The 15,397-nt window shown below is 50.0% G+C and overlaps 1 protein-coding gene across 9 annotated transcripts in view, besides 6 other annotated features; it reads left to right on the top strand.

The window, feature by feature from the left end:
• GRIP2 (glutamate receptor interacting protein 2) overlaps window positions 1–15,397 on the top strand; it is a 113,911-nt gene that overhangs the window by 93,242 nt on the left and 5,272 nt on the right. For 7 of the 9 annotated variants that reach the window (XM_047449036.1, XM_011534142.4, XM_011534143.4 and 4 more), the window contains 6 exons: window positions 2,076–2,215; window positions 2,796–2,975; window positions 3,987–4,161; window positions 6,105–6,210; window positions 13,216–13,359; window positions 14,787–14,933. In XM_047449036.1, the coding sequence (XP_047304992.1) occupies window positions 2,076–2,215; window positions 2,796–2,975; window positions 3,987–4,161; window positions 6,105–6,210; window positions 13,216–13,359; window positions 14,787–14,933 (892 nt within the window). Of the gene's footprint in view, window positions 1–1,327; window positions 1,388–2,075; window positions 2,216–2,795; window positions 2,976–3,986; window positions 4,162–5,822; window positions 5,989–6,104; window positions 6,211–13,215; window positions 13,360–14,786; window positions 14,934–15,397 lie in introns of those variants that run through there. The other 2 variants (XM_047449037.1, XM_047449038.1) reach the window with 2 other exon arrangements.
• Window positions 521–815: an enhancer, noted in NCBI's record as "identical tiled regions #227 and #3570; K562 Activating DNase unmatched - State 12:CtcfO". NCBI's record gives its function as "activates a minimal TATA promoter and a strong SV40 promoter by Sharpr-MPRA in K562 cells {active_cell/tissue: K562}" and the evidence as "EXISTENCE:reporter gene assay evidence [ECO:0000049][PMID:27701403]".
• Window positions 606–655: a silencer, noted in NCBI's record as "silent region_14095". NCBI's record gives its function as "represses an Ori minimal core promoter by ATAC-STARR-seq in GM12878 lymphoblastoid cells {active_cell/tissue: GM12878}" and the evidence as "EXISTENCE:reporter gene assay evidence [ECO:0000049][PMID:35858748]".
• Window positions 3,336–3,835: an enhancer, noted in NCBI's record as "H3K4me1 hESC enhancer chr3:14547449-14547948 (GRCh37/hg19 assembly coordinates)". NCBI's record gives its function as "activates a minimal SCP1, AML or CMV promoter by ChIP-STARR-seq in primed H9 embryonic stem cells {active_cell/tissue: H9 hESC(primed)}" and the evidence as "EXISTENCE:reporter gene assay evidence [ECO:0000049][PMID:30033119]".
• Window positions 3,836–4,337: an enhancer, noted in NCBI's record as "H3K4me1 hESC enhancer chr3:14546947-14547448 (GRCh37/hg19 assembly coordinates)". NCBI's record gives its function as "activates a minimal SCP1, AML or CMV promoter by ChIP-STARR-seq in naive H9 embryonic stem cells {active_cell/tissue: H9 hESC(naive)}" and the evidence as "EXISTENCE:reporter gene assay evidence [ECO:0000049][PMID:30033119]".
• Window positions 11,681–12,181: an enhancer, noted in NCBI's record as "H3K4me1 hESC enhancer chr3:14539103-14539603 (GRCh37/hg19 assembly coordinates)". NCBI's record gives its function as "activates a minimal SCP1, AML or CMV promoter by ChIP-STARR-seq in primed H9 embryonic stem cells {active_cell/tissue: H9 hESC(primed)}" and the evidence as "EXISTENCE:reporter gene assay evidence [ECO:0000049][PMID:30033119]".
• Window positions 13,290–13,852: an enhancer, noted in NCBI's record as "H3K4me1 hESC enhancer chr3:14537432-14537994 (GRCh37/hg19 assembly coordinates)". NCBI's record gives its function as "activates a minimal SCP1, AML or CMV promoter by ChIP-STARR-seq in primed H9 embryonic stem cells {active_cell/tissue: H9 hESC(primed)}" and the evidence as "EXISTENCE:reporter gene assay evidence [ECO:0000049][PMID:30033119]".

Here is a 15,397-nt window from a genome sequence, read left to right as displayed (position 1 = left end):
CAGGAAGCAAGAGCTGGGGCTATGGCAAAGCCAAGCAAGATTCTGACCTCTGTTCCAACATTGACACTGTGGGTGACATTGGGCCAGTCACTTCCCCTCTCTGAGACTCAGGTCTGCATTTGTAAAATGAGTGTCAGCCCCTGCCTGCCAGGGCAGAGGCCCACACCCCAGCAGACCTCCTGGCTCCAGGTAAGCACTGGGCCAAGGTGTGTGCATCTTCCTGCTCCTACCTGTGTCTGGAAGGTCAGCCCTGCAAGGCTATTTGGAGCGCCTGCTGTGTGCGGAATAGGATGGGGCAGTGCCCCAGTACCCTGGTCCCAGCACTGCCTAGGGCTTTCCTGAGGCATTGGGGGACTGTCCCTGCTGCCCCTAGACTCTGAAACTGTGGCAGCTGAGGGAGCTGTAAGAATGGAGCCCTGTCCCAGGGTGAGGTGGAGGTCAGAGATGGAACCCGACCCCCAGTGTGGGTGAGACCGAGCCTTCTCCCCCGAGCTGGGCAGGGATGAATCCGGCAGGCAAGGAAGCGGTGAGCTCCCAGCACAGCAACGAGCGGGCGGTAAAAGGAGAGCCTGGTGGGGGCTGCAGGGGCAGGACGCGTCCCGGAGGAGGGCACCGCGCAGGAGGGGCGGTGGCTGGGCGGGTGGGGAGAGGATGGGAGGGATTCCGGGACGTGGACCCTGCTCCTGGAGCGCCCCCTGCTGGACACCTGGCAGACTGCAGAGGTCGGTGTGGAACCCTTCTGACCCCAATGTCTTCATCAATTCGAGCATGTACTGGGCACCTGCTGTGTGCCTGGCCCCTCTGTCCTGGTTGCTGGGGCTGTACAGACAACCCTCCTGCCTTCGCCGGGCTGATGTAGCTCAGTGCTGTCCAACTGAAATATAATTTGAGCCACAAATTTAATCAGACACTTTCTAGTAGCCACATCTGCAAAGCAAAAAGATGAAATTCATCTTAAATATATATTTAGTTCAACATGTAATCAAATAAAAACCATTAAGAACATGTCTTATATTCTTTTTCATGTTACACCTTCCGTATCTGGTGTGAGTTTTCTGCTTTTAGCACATCTCAATTTGGGCAGTCACATTTGAGGGGCTCAGCAGCCACCTGTGGCTGGTGGCTGCCATATTGGACACTACAGCTCTGGTCCCCTCCCGGAGCCCACCATTCCCTGACTCGCTCACTATCCTCATCCCTGGGGAAGTGCAGGGCAATGCCCAAGCATGACTCTCCAGGAGCTCCCATATGGGGTGACATCTACAGCCCCAGAGGTTAAAGACCCCTGACCCTAGTCCTCTGCCTCCTTTTCCTCCACCTGGCTCAGGTCACTCTAAGCACCTGCTACAGCTTCTCCCCTGCTCAGCCCTGGCTGCTCCTCAGAATCACCTTCCTGCCCCATCCCCACAGGTACTATTTAATTGGTCAGATGTGGGGCCCAGGCACCTGCATTTTCAAAAAGCTCCTCAGGTCATTGTAATGGGTGTCCAGGTAGAAAACCACTGGGCCACAGCAGTGCTGCCGCCTGGCATCACCAGCCCTTCACGCCCTACTGTGAGGTCTGCTGGGCGCTGGTGATTATGCCCATTCTCCAGGTGGGAAAACTGAGGCCCAGGAAGGGGCAATGGCTACCAAGGGTGTCTGCTGGAGGGAAGTAGGAATCCATTCCGTTCATTCACGCCTCAGTTATGATTTGATAATTAAATTAGTATTATCACCCCCATTTTACAGATGAAGAAACTGAAACTCAAGGGTTTAAGAAACTGGCCCAAGATCACATAGCAAGTATTTGGCAGCTAGTATGTGGGATTCTCAAAACCTGTGTTGGACACTGGTTCCAGAACCTAATTTTGCAGTCAGGTGGGACAATCCCCTCCCAGGTTCTAGACTTTATGTCTCTATTAATGTGATCCAAGATCATACTTGCGTGCTTTTGTTTTGTTTTTGGCAGCTGGGTTTAACTGGGGTCAGCCAGACTTCTGCTTTGTGGCTCTCCTGGATTCCCTGAGGGCAGACTGCCACTCTGAGGCCCTGAGTGTCTAACTCCCATTCTCTGCCCTGCATCCACTCCTCAGGACTGGTGCCATCCACGTGGGGGACCGCATTCTGGCCATCAACAACGTTAGCCTCAAGGGCCGGCCGCTGAGCGAGGCCATCCACCTCCTGCAGGTGGCTGGAGAGACCGTCACACTGAAGATCAAGAAGCAACTAGACCGTGAGATTCGCTTCATCCCCTGGGAGCCACCCAGCAGGTTTAGGAAGGGCAATCCCTCTGTGCCAGGCTTTGCCTGCACACCCTCACAGAGTCCTCACTGCAGCCCTGTGGAGGCGGGCCTGCGATGGCAAAGAAGATAAGACTCAGAGAGGGAAGTGATGAGCCCAGGGCCACACAGTGGGCACGGGGCAGAATCTGGGTCTGAGCCCTGTTCTTCATTACTTCCTGCCTCTTAAGGTGCTCACGTGTGTATGCTTCATGGCCATAACTCATGCATTCCTCAGCTGCCCCTGAATACGTCCCCGTGCCTTGGTAGAAAGGCCACCATAGGCAGTGGAAGGGGCCTGAGCTAATCCTGGCTCCACTGGTGCTCACTGTGTGATCTCGGGCATGCTGCTCAGCTTCCCCGAGCCTCAGTTTTCCCATCTGTGAAACAGGTTTGCTTATTAGTGTGCCATGGTCATATGTCAGCTCAGAAGGGCTTACTGCCTGTGAGTTTCCAGACCAGGCTGAAATGCAGAAACTGAGGCTCACTGTGAGTGTCTCTGAAGTCAGAATTGACACCCCTCTCTCCTCCCAGGTCCCCTCCTACCCCGCAAGTCGGGCAGCCTCAGTGAGACCAGTGATGCTGATGAGGACCCAGCAGATGCCCTGAAAGGAGGCCTGCCAGCAGCCCGCTTCTCGCCGGCTGTGCCCAGTGTGGACAGTGCTGTGGAGTCTTGGGACAGCTCGGCCACCGAGGGTGGCTTTGGGGGCCCAGGTAATACCTTGGGGCCCTTGGACAAGTGGCACGCTCTCTCTAGGCCGCCCCTGCTGCTGGGCCTGTGCAGGACTGTTCTTGTGCCTGTTCCTCCCTCCTGCGCTCCTCTCCTGGCATCCTTTAGGGGCCCTTCCTGAAGGAAGACCTGATTTGGCTCCGTAAGCCACTCTTAGGGCCCCTTGCTCCTGGAAGCATGGACTGCAGCCATATCTTTTGATTTAGAACCATGGGTCCCATGCTGGCTGCTAAGCTTTCCCCACTGTGAAGTTACGGACAAAGTTGGTCTTTCTTCTACTGTAGCCTTCCTTCCTAGCCCAATGTCTGGCACACAGTAGGTGCTCAACAATGTTCATTCCATCCAGTTGAAAATAGGGAGGCCAAAAGCCCCCTCCCACCCCAGCCTACAAGACCGGATGTGGGGCAGACACCTCGGGCTCCCTCCCAGGCCAATGCATGTTGAGACCCGGAGGTGGCCGCAGGGAGACGTCTGAGTCTGGTGGCTGGCCAGCTGGCCTCAATGACCCAGAGCCACCGGAACTCCCCATGGTCCAACTCAGAGGACTGGGTAGGGGGGGCGAGGCCTCTACGGGCCGTAGGTGGCTGCCAGCCCGTTCTTGCCTGCGGACACCTGCTCTCCCTGGGCCTCAGCTTCCCCATCTCCAGCTCTCTGTCAGCATCTCTCAGCTCACTCCCTGGGGCTGGACCTTCAGAGCTCCCAAAGGCAGGAAGTGGAGGGTGGGCCACATGTTCAGCCTCCTTCCGTGGCAGGGTGATGGCCAAGCCCAGGCCGATGGAGTTGAGACAGAGTCGCAGAGCCCCAGGCATTAACTTCTGGATGACCAGGAGCTCCAGGGAGATTCTGAGAGGCAGAGGCCCTCAGAGGGCTGTGTAGATGCAGGCCCAGAGAGGAGCAACGACCTCCCCAGGGTCACTCAGCACAGCTGGAAATGGGGCAGGCAGGAGGGCAAGGTGAGGCCGCAGGGAACACAGAGGCCCTCTCTCCACCACCAGGGTCCTATACACCACAGGCAGCAGCCCGGGGCACGACCCCCCAGGAGCGGAGGCCTGGCTGGCTGAGGGGCAGCCCCCCACCCACCGAGCCCCGGAGGACGAGCTATACCCCAACCCCAGCTGACGAGAGCTTTCCAGAGGAGGAGGAGGAGGATGATTGGGAGCCGCCAACGAGGTCTGTGGTGGGAGCACCGTGAAGGAGGAGGGAGTCACAGTGTCTTGGCTGGGGTGGGCGAGGGTGCCTGTGCCAAAGTGGTGGGGGAATGGAGAGTCTTGGCGGGCTCCTGAGGAGGGGTGCCTCCTGGGAGAGAAGCACTGAGCAGAGCCACCTCAGCCAGGCTGAGACGGAGGGAAGGGCAGACTGGTGGAGGGCACGGCAGGGACGAAGGTATAGAGGTGGAGAGCAGCCTGGTTTGCCCTTCCCAACTTTGGTCATCTCCTGTTCTCAGAAGAGCAGCAGACTCAGAACTTGAACCCAGGCCCACCTGACTTACCCCAGATGGCCTGATGGCCTCCTGCGAGGGCCCTCAGCCCACCGGCACCATCCCTGGGCTGTGCCGAGTGGCTGAGCCGCTGGAGAAGGCTCCTGCAGAGAGCAGGCTGTGGAGAAATGCTGTTCCTCATCTGGCCCAGGCCACCCTCCCATCGTGGTGCTTTTGATCAGGCGGTTCCTTCTGCCTCGATGCCTTTCCCCTGGTCTCTCCTGGCAAATCCCTACTCATCCCTCAAAACTCAGCTCAAATTCTCCTGCCTCTGGGAAGCTTCCCTGTCTTTCTCAGGCAGAAGGGATTCCTCCCTCCCTCCTGGTACCCACAGCTGCTCCTACAAGTCTCCTGGTAGCCTAAACACCTTGTGTCTATCTGGCTAATTACTTGGCTATCATCTCTACTGCGTGGCACCCCAGCTCCACGCGTGGCCCCTAGTAGGTGCTCAGACATATTTTGCGAATGAATCTCCAGCTCTGTAAGAACAGGGGCCACACTTTATTCTCTTCCATATCCCTGTGCCCAGCAGAGGACTTAGCTCAGGAAATGTCTGTGGAATTGACTTGAATGGAGCAAGTGTCCTTCAGCCTCTGTCTTTTCATCTGTTACATGGAAAGGGAAGGAGGCAACACATCCTCGTTCCTAAGCTCCCTAAGATAGCAAAGCTTGCGTGCCCCTGTAAAAGAGCAAGTGCTGGCAGGGTGCAGTGGCTCACGCCTGTAATCCCAGCACTTCAGGAGGCTGAAGTGGGCAGATCACGAGGTCGGGAGATCGAGACCATCCTGGCTGACACGGTGGAACCCGTCTCTAGTAAAAATACAAAAAGTTGGCCAGGGGTGGTGGCGCATGCCTGTGGTCCTAGCTTCTCGGGAGGCTGAGGCAGGAGAATGGCGTGAACCCAGGAGGCAGAGCTTGCAGTGAGTCGAGATCATGCCACTGCACTCCAGCTTGGGTGACAGAGCAAGACTCTGTCTCAAAAAAAAAAAAAAAAAAAACAAGCAAGTGCTTTGTAAATCACAGCATGCCTTGTAACCGTTGAGGCCTTTGTAATTAGCAAGTGGCTTTGCGAAGTGTCAAAATGTGAATTGTGAACTTTCTGAGACTCAGTGTTGGAACTGATGATAACAGGCTCATACAACCTGTGATGGGAGTTATGGGTGGTCTCGACCCCTTCCCCAGCACAGTTATTTCATCCTCTCCATCCATCTGTGTCCTTGCTGGCCCCAGCTCTGTCCCTGTCACTGTCCCACGGTGCCGTGTGTCTGGGTGGGGCCAGGGGCCGTCCTCTGGGACTACACCATGGATCTCCTCTCTGTCTGTTCGTCTGTTTGTCCTCTGTCTCTCTTCCTAGGCATCCTGTGTCACCGCTCTCCACCCCGTCTCATCTGCCCCTGTTCTAACTGGCCACCGACAGTCCTGGTCGCCCCTAACTGCGTCTTTCCCCTATTCCGTGTCACCAACCACTGCCCCGGGGCCCCAGAACTGCCACCGAGGACGCCCGCCTGCCTGCCCGCCCACCCACCCTATGGCCCCTCGAGCCCAACGCTGGGCCCTGGGGCCCCGAAGACTCCTCAGGCCCCAGCCCGCCCACCCGCCTGCCAGGAGTTGACGCTCTCTGGTTCCTACGTTACAGCCCAGCCCCTGGCCCTGCCCGAGAGGAGGGCTTCTGGCGCATGTTTGGAGAAGCTCTCGAAGACCTGGAGTCATGTGGTCAGTCAGAGCTGCTGAGGGAACTGGAGGTATGGCTGCCTGCCCTGCAGGCCTGCATGGGGCACCCGGGGCTGTTCACTCTGGTGTGTGTGCAATGGGAGGAAGGCATGCTGATGGCATCATGCTCATGTGTAATGTGTACGTATGCACTCACCTGGGCACCCTGTGGGAAAAGGTGTCTTCACATATGTACAGACTGTGCATGGATTCATGTGCAAGTGTGATTGAGAGCACTGTGGTACTACACATTATCTGTGTGGACATGGAATATGTGTGACATCATCATGTGTACATTGGGAGCATATGTGTATGCATGCATGTGAACATGCTCATGCATGCACATTTGCAGAGTGTATTTCAGAACATGTGTGTCCGATTGTGCACATGTAGGCACACGGGGCAGTTTTGGTATTTTTGTATGTATGTGTGATCATGAATGTGGTTGTCGGCATGCCCTGTAGAAGCGTGAGTGTTGACATCAGTGACGACACAGGAGATAAGGGGCTGTGGGAAACCAGAGGTGAATGTGGCTTTGTGTAAGGTCAATATTGCTCAGTGAATAGAACAAACTGCCCAGGAGGATCCAGAGAGGATCTCGCTAAGTCACATCCCAAGCTTCCACTCTGAGAGCAATTATATTTTATTTAAATCTCTATTTTATCTGTGTTTTGCCCCCTTTTTATTTCTAATATTATTGATTGGGGTCATTTTTTTCTCTCCATTAATCTTGCCAATTACTAGGTTGCTCAAAGAACAAGTTTTTGGCTTTATTATTTTCTATTTTATTCATTTGTTTGTTTAGCTTTGATAGTCTCTTCCTTCCACTTTATTTATGCTTAAGTCATGATCCTTTTCATGGTTTCTTAGTGCCTTAATTTTCAGTCTTTCTTGTTTTTGAATAATGTATCTTTTAAAGCTATGAATTTACCTGTAAGCATTGCTTTGGCTGCATCCCAGATTTTGCAAATGCACTTTCCACCTTAAATTAAATTCTGTTTTGTCTCATAATAATATTGTTTCATTAAATTTATTTTAGTGATTATTTGCCTGTCTTTTTTTCCAATTTGGTTATTTTCTCTCTCTCTCTCTCTTTTTTTTTTTGAGACAGAGTCTCACTCTGTCACCCAGGCTGGAGTACAGTGGTGCAATCTCGGCTCACTGCAGCCTCCACCTCCTGGGTTCAAGTGATTCTCATGCCTCAGCCTCCTGAGTAACTGGGATTAAAGGTATGTGCCACCATGCCCAGCTAATTTTTTCTATTTTTAATAGAGATGGGTTTTCACTGTGTTGGCCAGACTGGTCTCGAACTTCTGGCCTCAAGTGATCCACCTGCCTCAGCTTCCCAAAGTGCTGGGATTACAGAGTTGAGCCACTGTGCCTGGCCAATTTGCTTGTTTTCAAATTTACTGTATCGTTGTTTCTAATGTGTCTCTATTGTATACTATACATAGCAGGTTCTCTTTTTATTAAAGATGAATTTAGTCTATTTATATTTGTTGTGACTACTAATATAATTAAACTTTTCAATCAGAGGTACACCTGAAAAAATATATAATTAAACTTAATTCTAGTATATAATTTATACTTCCTATTTATCCCATTTTCTTTATACTTCTTCTGATCGTCCATCTTTCCTTTTTTCTATTGATCCATTTTTCATTACTGCTCACTCTCTCCACAATCTCCAATTTGGAGATTTTAAATTTTATTTGTATTCTTGTAGCAATTATCTTTAATTCATTTGTTTTACTTTCAACATTCAGTTTTTACATTGAAATCTTTTATTATTACCTAAGTGATATGTGTGTATGGTGCAAAATTGGATAAGCAAAGTAGAATCAAAATAAGTAATAAAAAATAAGTAAATCAAAAAATAAGTAAAAGTAAAACTTAAGGACACAACATTCCCACCACCCATAGATCACCACTGTTACTGCTTTAATGAGTTTATGTGTATTTTTAAGATAATGAAATCATGATGTATGTACTGTTTTGTAGACTGCTTTTTTAGCTAGTTATTTCATTTTTCCATTTCGATATATTTTAATCTTTCCTAATACCAAGACCATATTCAGATTTCCTCAGTTGGACCCAAATTGTCCTTTACACCTGTTTTGTCCAAACCAATGTCTAATCCATGCTTGGAGCTTGGTTATTATGTCTCTTAAGTCTCTCTTTAGTCCAGTGCCTTTTACATGATACTAATGTAAACTTCCTGTTTATCAAGATAAAATTCATATATAAAATTTATAATTTTAACCAGTTTAAAGTGTACAGTTTAGTGGCTTTTGTTATATTCACAGTGTTGTGCAATCATCAGCACTATCTAATTCCAGAGCACTTCTAACACCCCAAAATGAAAACTTGTACCTTCCAATTCCTCCCACTTCCCATCCCCTGGCAATTGCTATCTACTCTGTCTCTATGGATTAGCCTATTCTGGATATTTCATAAAAGTGGAGTGTGTATTTGACTTTTTGTGTCTGGCTTTTTTCACTTAGCTTCATGTTGTGGCATGTGTCAGTACTTCATCCCTTTTTATGGCTAAATAATTATTAGGATAGATCACTGAAGGGAAGGCCATGGCCTTACCTTACATTTTCAATATATTTTCTGAACTTGGTTTTTCTAACAAGTGTAAGCAATACCTTTGTCCTCCTCTTGAATAAGATAGGCACTATAGAATTCTTTCACTTCTCTCCAAACTACCTCCTCTCATATCCCAACTTTCTTATAAATTGCTCAAACTTCATGAACGTGGGGGTTTTATCAGAATATTTGACCAATTTCTGTTATCACCTTTGCTTCTTGCATACCCCTTTTTTTCTGAGCTCATCCTTTAAGATAGTCTTTCACCGAGGGCCTTTAGGTGGTAAACTGCTTTAGGCTCTGTGTTCTGAAAATGTCTTTATTTATTTTTTTCTAATCAATTTAGAAGTTTATAAATGTCTTTATTTCACCCCTGCTCTTAAATGATAGTTTAGTTGACTATGAAATTAAACATTTACTCAGGGCTTTGAAGATATTATCCTGTTGTCTTCTGGCAATGATCGTTGCTCCTGTTAGGTTCATTGTTGTTCCTTTGAAAGTCCTGTGTCTTTTCTTTCCAGGAGATTTGAGGATTTCTTTCTCTGTGATGGCTGGCTCTCTTGCTCTGATGTGTCTCAGTAAGAGTTTATTTGTCTTACTACAGACTCAGTCTGTTTTTTCAGTCCGAGGACTCGTGTTTGCCTTCTATGCTGGAAAATTCCTAGTCATGGTGTTTACAATATTGCCTCCTTCTTATTGTCTCCTTCTGTTAAGGTATGTTGGACACTTGTCCTCCATGCATTCTACCCTCCATGTCTCTTAACTTTTCCTTCATATTTTCTCTGCACTGTGTACTAGCTGCTTTCCTTAACCTGTCTTCCAATTCACTAGTTCTTTCCTTGGCTGTATTTATTCTACTGTGTAACCCATTTCTTAGATACTGTGTTTCAACTTCTACATCTTTTATTCCTACAATTTTGTTTTGTTTTGTTTTGTTTTAATCTTCATAGTCTTTTTTTAAAGGCTTTTGCTTTTTATTTTCTTATTTTTCTACACATCTTAAACCAAGCTTATCCAACCTGTGGCCCACGGGCCGCATGTAGCCCAGGATAGCTTTGAATTTTACACAAATTCATAAACTTTCTTAAAACATTATGAGATTTTTGTTTGCGATTTTTTTTTCTCATCAGCTATTGTTAACGTTAGTGTATTTTATGTGTGGCCCAAGACAATTATCCCACATGGCCCAGGGAAACCAATAGTTTGGACACCCCTGTAAACAGACTTATTTCAAGTTTCTTTTTCTTTTTTCTTTTTTTCGAGATGGAGTTTCACTCTGTTTGTTGCTCAGGCTGGAGTGCAGTCAGTGGCATGATCTTGGCTTGGCTCGCTTGGCTCACTACAACCTCCACCTCCTGGGTTCAAGCAATTCTCCTGCCTCTGCCACCCGAGTAGCTGGGGACTACAGGCATGCACCACCACGCTTGGTTAATTTTTTTTTTTCTTTTTTTTGGTAGAGACAGGGTTTCACCATGTTGCCCAGGTTGGTCTTGAACTCCTGATCTCTGGCGATCCGCCCGCCTTGGCCTCCCAAAGTTCTGGGATTACAGGTGTGAGCCACCATGCCGGTTCTCAAGTTTCTTTTGACTTCACTATTATTTTTAGTTCCCTGAGTATGGATTCGCCGACTTGTTTTGTCTGTGGGCAGGTGGGCTTTTTCATCTCATCACTGCACTGCTTCCAGCTGTGGTCCCTTCCCAGGCACCCGCCTTGCTGCGCTCTGCGTTGTCGATGCATCAGTGAGATCGCTCCTCACTTTGTCTTGGCTGTGGCCTTTGAACTTCACCAGCTCCAGACTGGTTTTGACAGTAATTCCTCAGCTCAGTGTTTCTGCACTATTGTGGAAGGCAGATTCCGGCCCCACCTTCATGCGGAGGTCACGCTAAGGGTTCTAGTTTGTCACAAGTGATCCTCCCCCTCCCCGCCTGTTCAAGTCCTGGTGGTTCCTTTCTTGTACCCCTGTGGGCAGACATTTTCCAGTCTCTATCCAGCAATGAGATGGCACTCGCTTTCTGGAATGGTACCCAGTTTCCTGCTTTGAGACAGCACTGTCTTTTTCCCTGAACAGTACCCCAGCTCCAAACGCGTATGTCTCGTTGTTACCTTCCATGGGCCACTAACTTCCATAAGCCAGACAGTTCCACTCCTGCTCATGCCTGTCTCTGAATTTTTCTTTCTTGCTTTGAAAGTGTTTATTTAACAAATTGAAATCTATCATCTCTACGTGTTTGAAGGGAGGTGTGAACTTCCTGTATCAGCTCAGTCTGCATTTTAACTGGAAGTCCTTGAATTCTACAATTTTAGGGGTCCAAGACCCTGTGATGCCTGGACTCCCTGATTCTGTGTTTTAATAACTCTTATTATCCCAAAATGAGGAGTCTTGGATTTTCCTTTTGGATGCTGGCTCCCAGGCAGGTGAAGATCACTTCTAAGGTGTGAAAAAGGTGCTTCTCTGCCTCCTCATTCAATATCCTCCCTCGGTTTCCTATCTTCCCCCCCACTCCAACCCAACAGTTTGGCCCTAAAACAGTTTTTATTTTTTAGTGATAGGATCTTGCTCTGTTGCCCAGGCTGGAGTGCAGTGGCATGGTCTCAGCTCACTGCAACCTTCACCTCCCAGGCTCAGCTGATCCTCCCACCTCAGCCTCCCTAGTAGCTGGGACCACAGACATGCATCACCACACCTGGCTAATAATTGTATTTTTTGTAGAGAGGTTGTCTGGCTATGTTTGCCCAGGTTGGTCTTGAACTCCTAGACTCAAACAATCCTCCTGCCTCCGCCTCCCAAAGTGCTGGGATTACAAGCATAAACCACCACAACCAACGTAAAACATTTTAATCATAATCTACTTTCCCTTAGGGGATCCCTAAAAGACCAACCCCCCGCACCCCAAATGGTCAGATAGAACTATGCACTAATAGTGGGAATTCAGATACTGTGATGGGTAGAAGGAGAGATGTTTCTAGGCTGGGGAGACAATTGTGTGCCTGTGAGATTGCACGATGTTAGAGTAAGAAGTCCATCCTCCCCTCCCAGCAGCTCCAGCACCCCCACCTCCATCTCTGGATTTCCCAGCCTGAGTGTGAAGCTGTTTCCCTCAGGGCCACATACTCCTGACTGGCAGCTTAGAGCTCGGCATTTCCAACTGCTCAGCCCTCACTTCCTGAGCCCGTTCTAACTCCACTCCTTCTCTCCTTCCCCACTGGCACCATCCTTGTCCAGAACACCACTGTCTTTTCTTTGGACCACTACATGACCCCTAACAGATCTCCTCCCAGCCTCCACTCCCGCTCCTGCAGCCCAGTCTTCATGTGGCAGTCGGAAGATGCTTCTAGATCCACACATTGGTTATGTCACCTTCTCTGCCTGGCTTCAGTCCTTCAGGGGCTCCCTGCTGCTCCTGGGATGAAGTTCACATTTCTTACTGTGGTCTAGAGGGCGCCGCAGGACTGGCCCCCAGCCACCACCAGCCGCCGAGTTTGCTTCCAGATCCCCCCACCACAGGGCTTTGCACGTGCTGTTTCCTCTGCCAGGGACTCTTCCCTGGGCCTCTTCGTCCTTGTCCTTTCAATTTCAGCTCTGGATGCTTCCCCACCCCTCACAGGACGAGGGCCACCTGTCCCAGGCTCTCACTTCCCGAGTGCCTCACCTCTGTAACACTTACTGCAGTGCATAATTTTATCTTATTTATGTTGGCGATTAGCAATGTAGTAGAGTGGTTAAGAGTCCTGACTTTGGGGCTGGGCATGATGGCTCACGCCTGTAATCCCAGCACTTTGGGAAGCTGAGGTGGGTGGATCATGTGAGGTCAGGAGTTCGAAACCAGCCTGATCAACACGGAGAAACCTCGTCTGTACTAAAAAAGAAAATATAAAATTAGCTGGGCATGGTGGCACATGCCTGCAGTTCCAGCTATTCAGGAGGATGAGGCAGGAGAATCACTTGAACCTGTGAGGCGGAGGTTGCGGTAAGCCAAGATTGTGCCATTGCATTCCAGCCTGGGCAACAAGAGCAAAACTTTGTCTCAAAAAAAAAAAAAAAAAGAGTCTTGACTTTGGAACTAGACTCTGGGTTCAAATCTTTTTTATATCTCTAAGGAGACAAACAGTTTCCTCATCTGTAAAGTGGAAAAAAGTGGTATTTACTTGCATCATTGTACTGTAGAGAATAAAATGAGTTATAGGTGTAAAGTGCTAAGAACTGACTTAGCCCTGGGTCGGCACGAATGATTACGTGCCAGTGATTATTGTTCTCATTGTTAGTGTGATTGGTTCATGACTTCCCACTCCACCGCTGTTGGACCCAGCCCCAATGGGCAGGGACCATGTCTGTCCTGTTCACCATTGTCCCTTTTGTGGCTGGCACATAGTAGTTGTCAGTGGATGCTGACTGCCTGATGGGGCAAGCCAACAAGCATCTGAAAGAAAGGCCGTGTTCCTTGCAGGCATCCATCATGACGGGCACCGTGCAGAGGGTGGCCCTCGAGGGCAGGCCTGGCCACCGGCCTTGGCAGAGGGGCCGGGAGGTACGAGCCTCTCCTGCAGAAATGGAGGAGCTGTTGCTGCCTACACCCTTGGAGATGCACAAGGTAGGCACAGGGGGTGAGCACAGGAGACCTGGACCTGTGTTCTGGTGCCATGAGCACTGTCGTGGGACTCCAGAGGGGCCCTGCCCCTCTCAGGGCTTTAGTCTCCTCCACCACAAAACTGGGTTGAGTTTTCCAAAATGCTCATCATTTGGGTGACATGCACACTCACACACATGCACACCTGTGATTCACACTGGGCTATTATTTTTCTTTAAGTAGATGTGCTTTTTTTCCCCCCACTTAAGTTATTTTATCTATGTATTTATTTTTTTGAGACAGGGTCTCGTTCTGCTGCCCAGGCTGGAGTGCAGTTGCTCGATCATGGCTCACTGCGGCCCTGACCTCCTGGGTTCAAGCGATTCTCCCACCTCAGCCCCACAAGAAGCTGGGACCACAGGCATGCACCACTACACCTGGCTAATTTTTGTATTTTTTTAGAGACAGGGTTTCAACAGGTTGCCCAGGCTGGTCTCAAACTCCTGGGTTCAAATGATCTGCCCACCTCAGCCTCTCAAAGTGCTGAGATTACATGTGTGAGCCACTGTGCCTGGCCTTAAGTTATTTTATATCTCATACACACATATTTACATATAACATATAAACCCTTCTACGTGTGTGTGTGACGTCTATGTATCTCACACCTTTACATCCCTACCTTCAATGAGAAGCCAGTGTCTTGTGCCATCTATAGGTCATTATATAAAAAGATACGAGCTGGTCGCGGTGGCTCATGCCTGTAATCCCAGCACTTTGGGAGGCTGAGGTGGGTGGATCACGAGGTCAAGAGATCAAAACTATCCTGGCCAACATGGTGAAACCCTGCCTCTACTAAAAATACAAAAATTAGCTGGGCATGGTGGCACACGTCTGTAGTCCCAGCTATTCGGGAGGCTGAGGCAGAAGAATTGCTTGAACCCAGTAGGCGGAGGTTGCAGTGAGCTGAGATCACGCCGTTGCACTCCAGCCTGGGTGACAGAGCAAGACTCCATCTCAAAAACAAAAACGAAAACAAAAACAACAACAACAAAAAAGATATGGAGGAGGACAACCCCTAGCCAATGGCCCTCAGAAGCTCTGAGCAGCTCTTTGGTAAATGGGAATGAGTGACGGTCAGGGGAGGTAACAGTGCCCTGGCCAGGCCTCCTCCCTGATAGAGCCAGAGGACAGAGAAAGGGCTGAAAGGAAGTCACTCCTAAGGGCTCCGTCGTACTTGAGTGTTGTGGCCTGGAGCATCTGCTGAGGGAGGTTGGCAGGGAGCGGGGTGGCGGGGGTGGCTGAAGGCCCAGGGGCAAGAGGCTGGGGTGCTGCAGCCTGGGGGGTGTGGCTGGCCAGAGGCGCTGAATGCCAGACCAAAGGACCTGGGCTACTGTGAGAGGCTGGGGGCAAAGGTCAGAGTTCCAGGAACCTCCTCCTCCTTCTGCTTCCAGGTGACCCTGCACAAGGACCCCATGCGGCATGACTTTGGTTTCAGCGTCTCAGATGGCCTCCTGGAAAAAGGTGTCTATGTCCACACTGTGCGCCCTGATGGGCCAGCCCACCGTGGAGGCCTCCAGCCCTTCGACAGGGTCCTGCAGGTAATGCTGGGGCAGGGGCTCCATAGTGGGGGTGGCATTGTTTCCTAGCCTGAGGGTGGGGAAAGAGCCTGCATCTATCGCCTGTGAAGAGGGCAGGACAATGCAAGTCTGAGTCAGGTTAGCCAAAGTTGCATTGCGGGCCCCAGCACCCTCAGCCTCAGAGGCTGAGCACACACAGACCTTTCTTCTTACACCCCATGCCCATTGTGGGCTGGTGGGGGCCTTCTTGTCCCGGGCTGATGGAGCATCCGCCCATCTTGGAATTGACCCTCTGAGACACGTGGCCTCCTCAGACTCCACAGCAGAGGAGACAGACTGGAAAGTCACACGTGGATTTTTTCCGCCTTCACCCAGAAGCAACACTCATCACCTTGCTTCACAGCCGATGGACCAAACCCCTCATGTGACCTTCCTAACTAACTGTGAGGGAGCCTGGGAAGCGTGGGACATCGTGTACTGGGCAC

This window comes from Homo sapiens, chromosome 3 (genome assembly GCF_000001405.40).
Source record: "Homo sapiens chromosome 3, GRCh38.p14 Primary Assembly".
Lineage (NCBI taxonomy): Eukaryota > Metazoa > Chordata > Mammalia > Primates > Hominidae > Homo > Homo sapiens.
The sequence above is the reverse complement of the archived record's forward strand: the minus strand, read 5'-3'. Positions and strand labels throughout refer to the sequence as shown.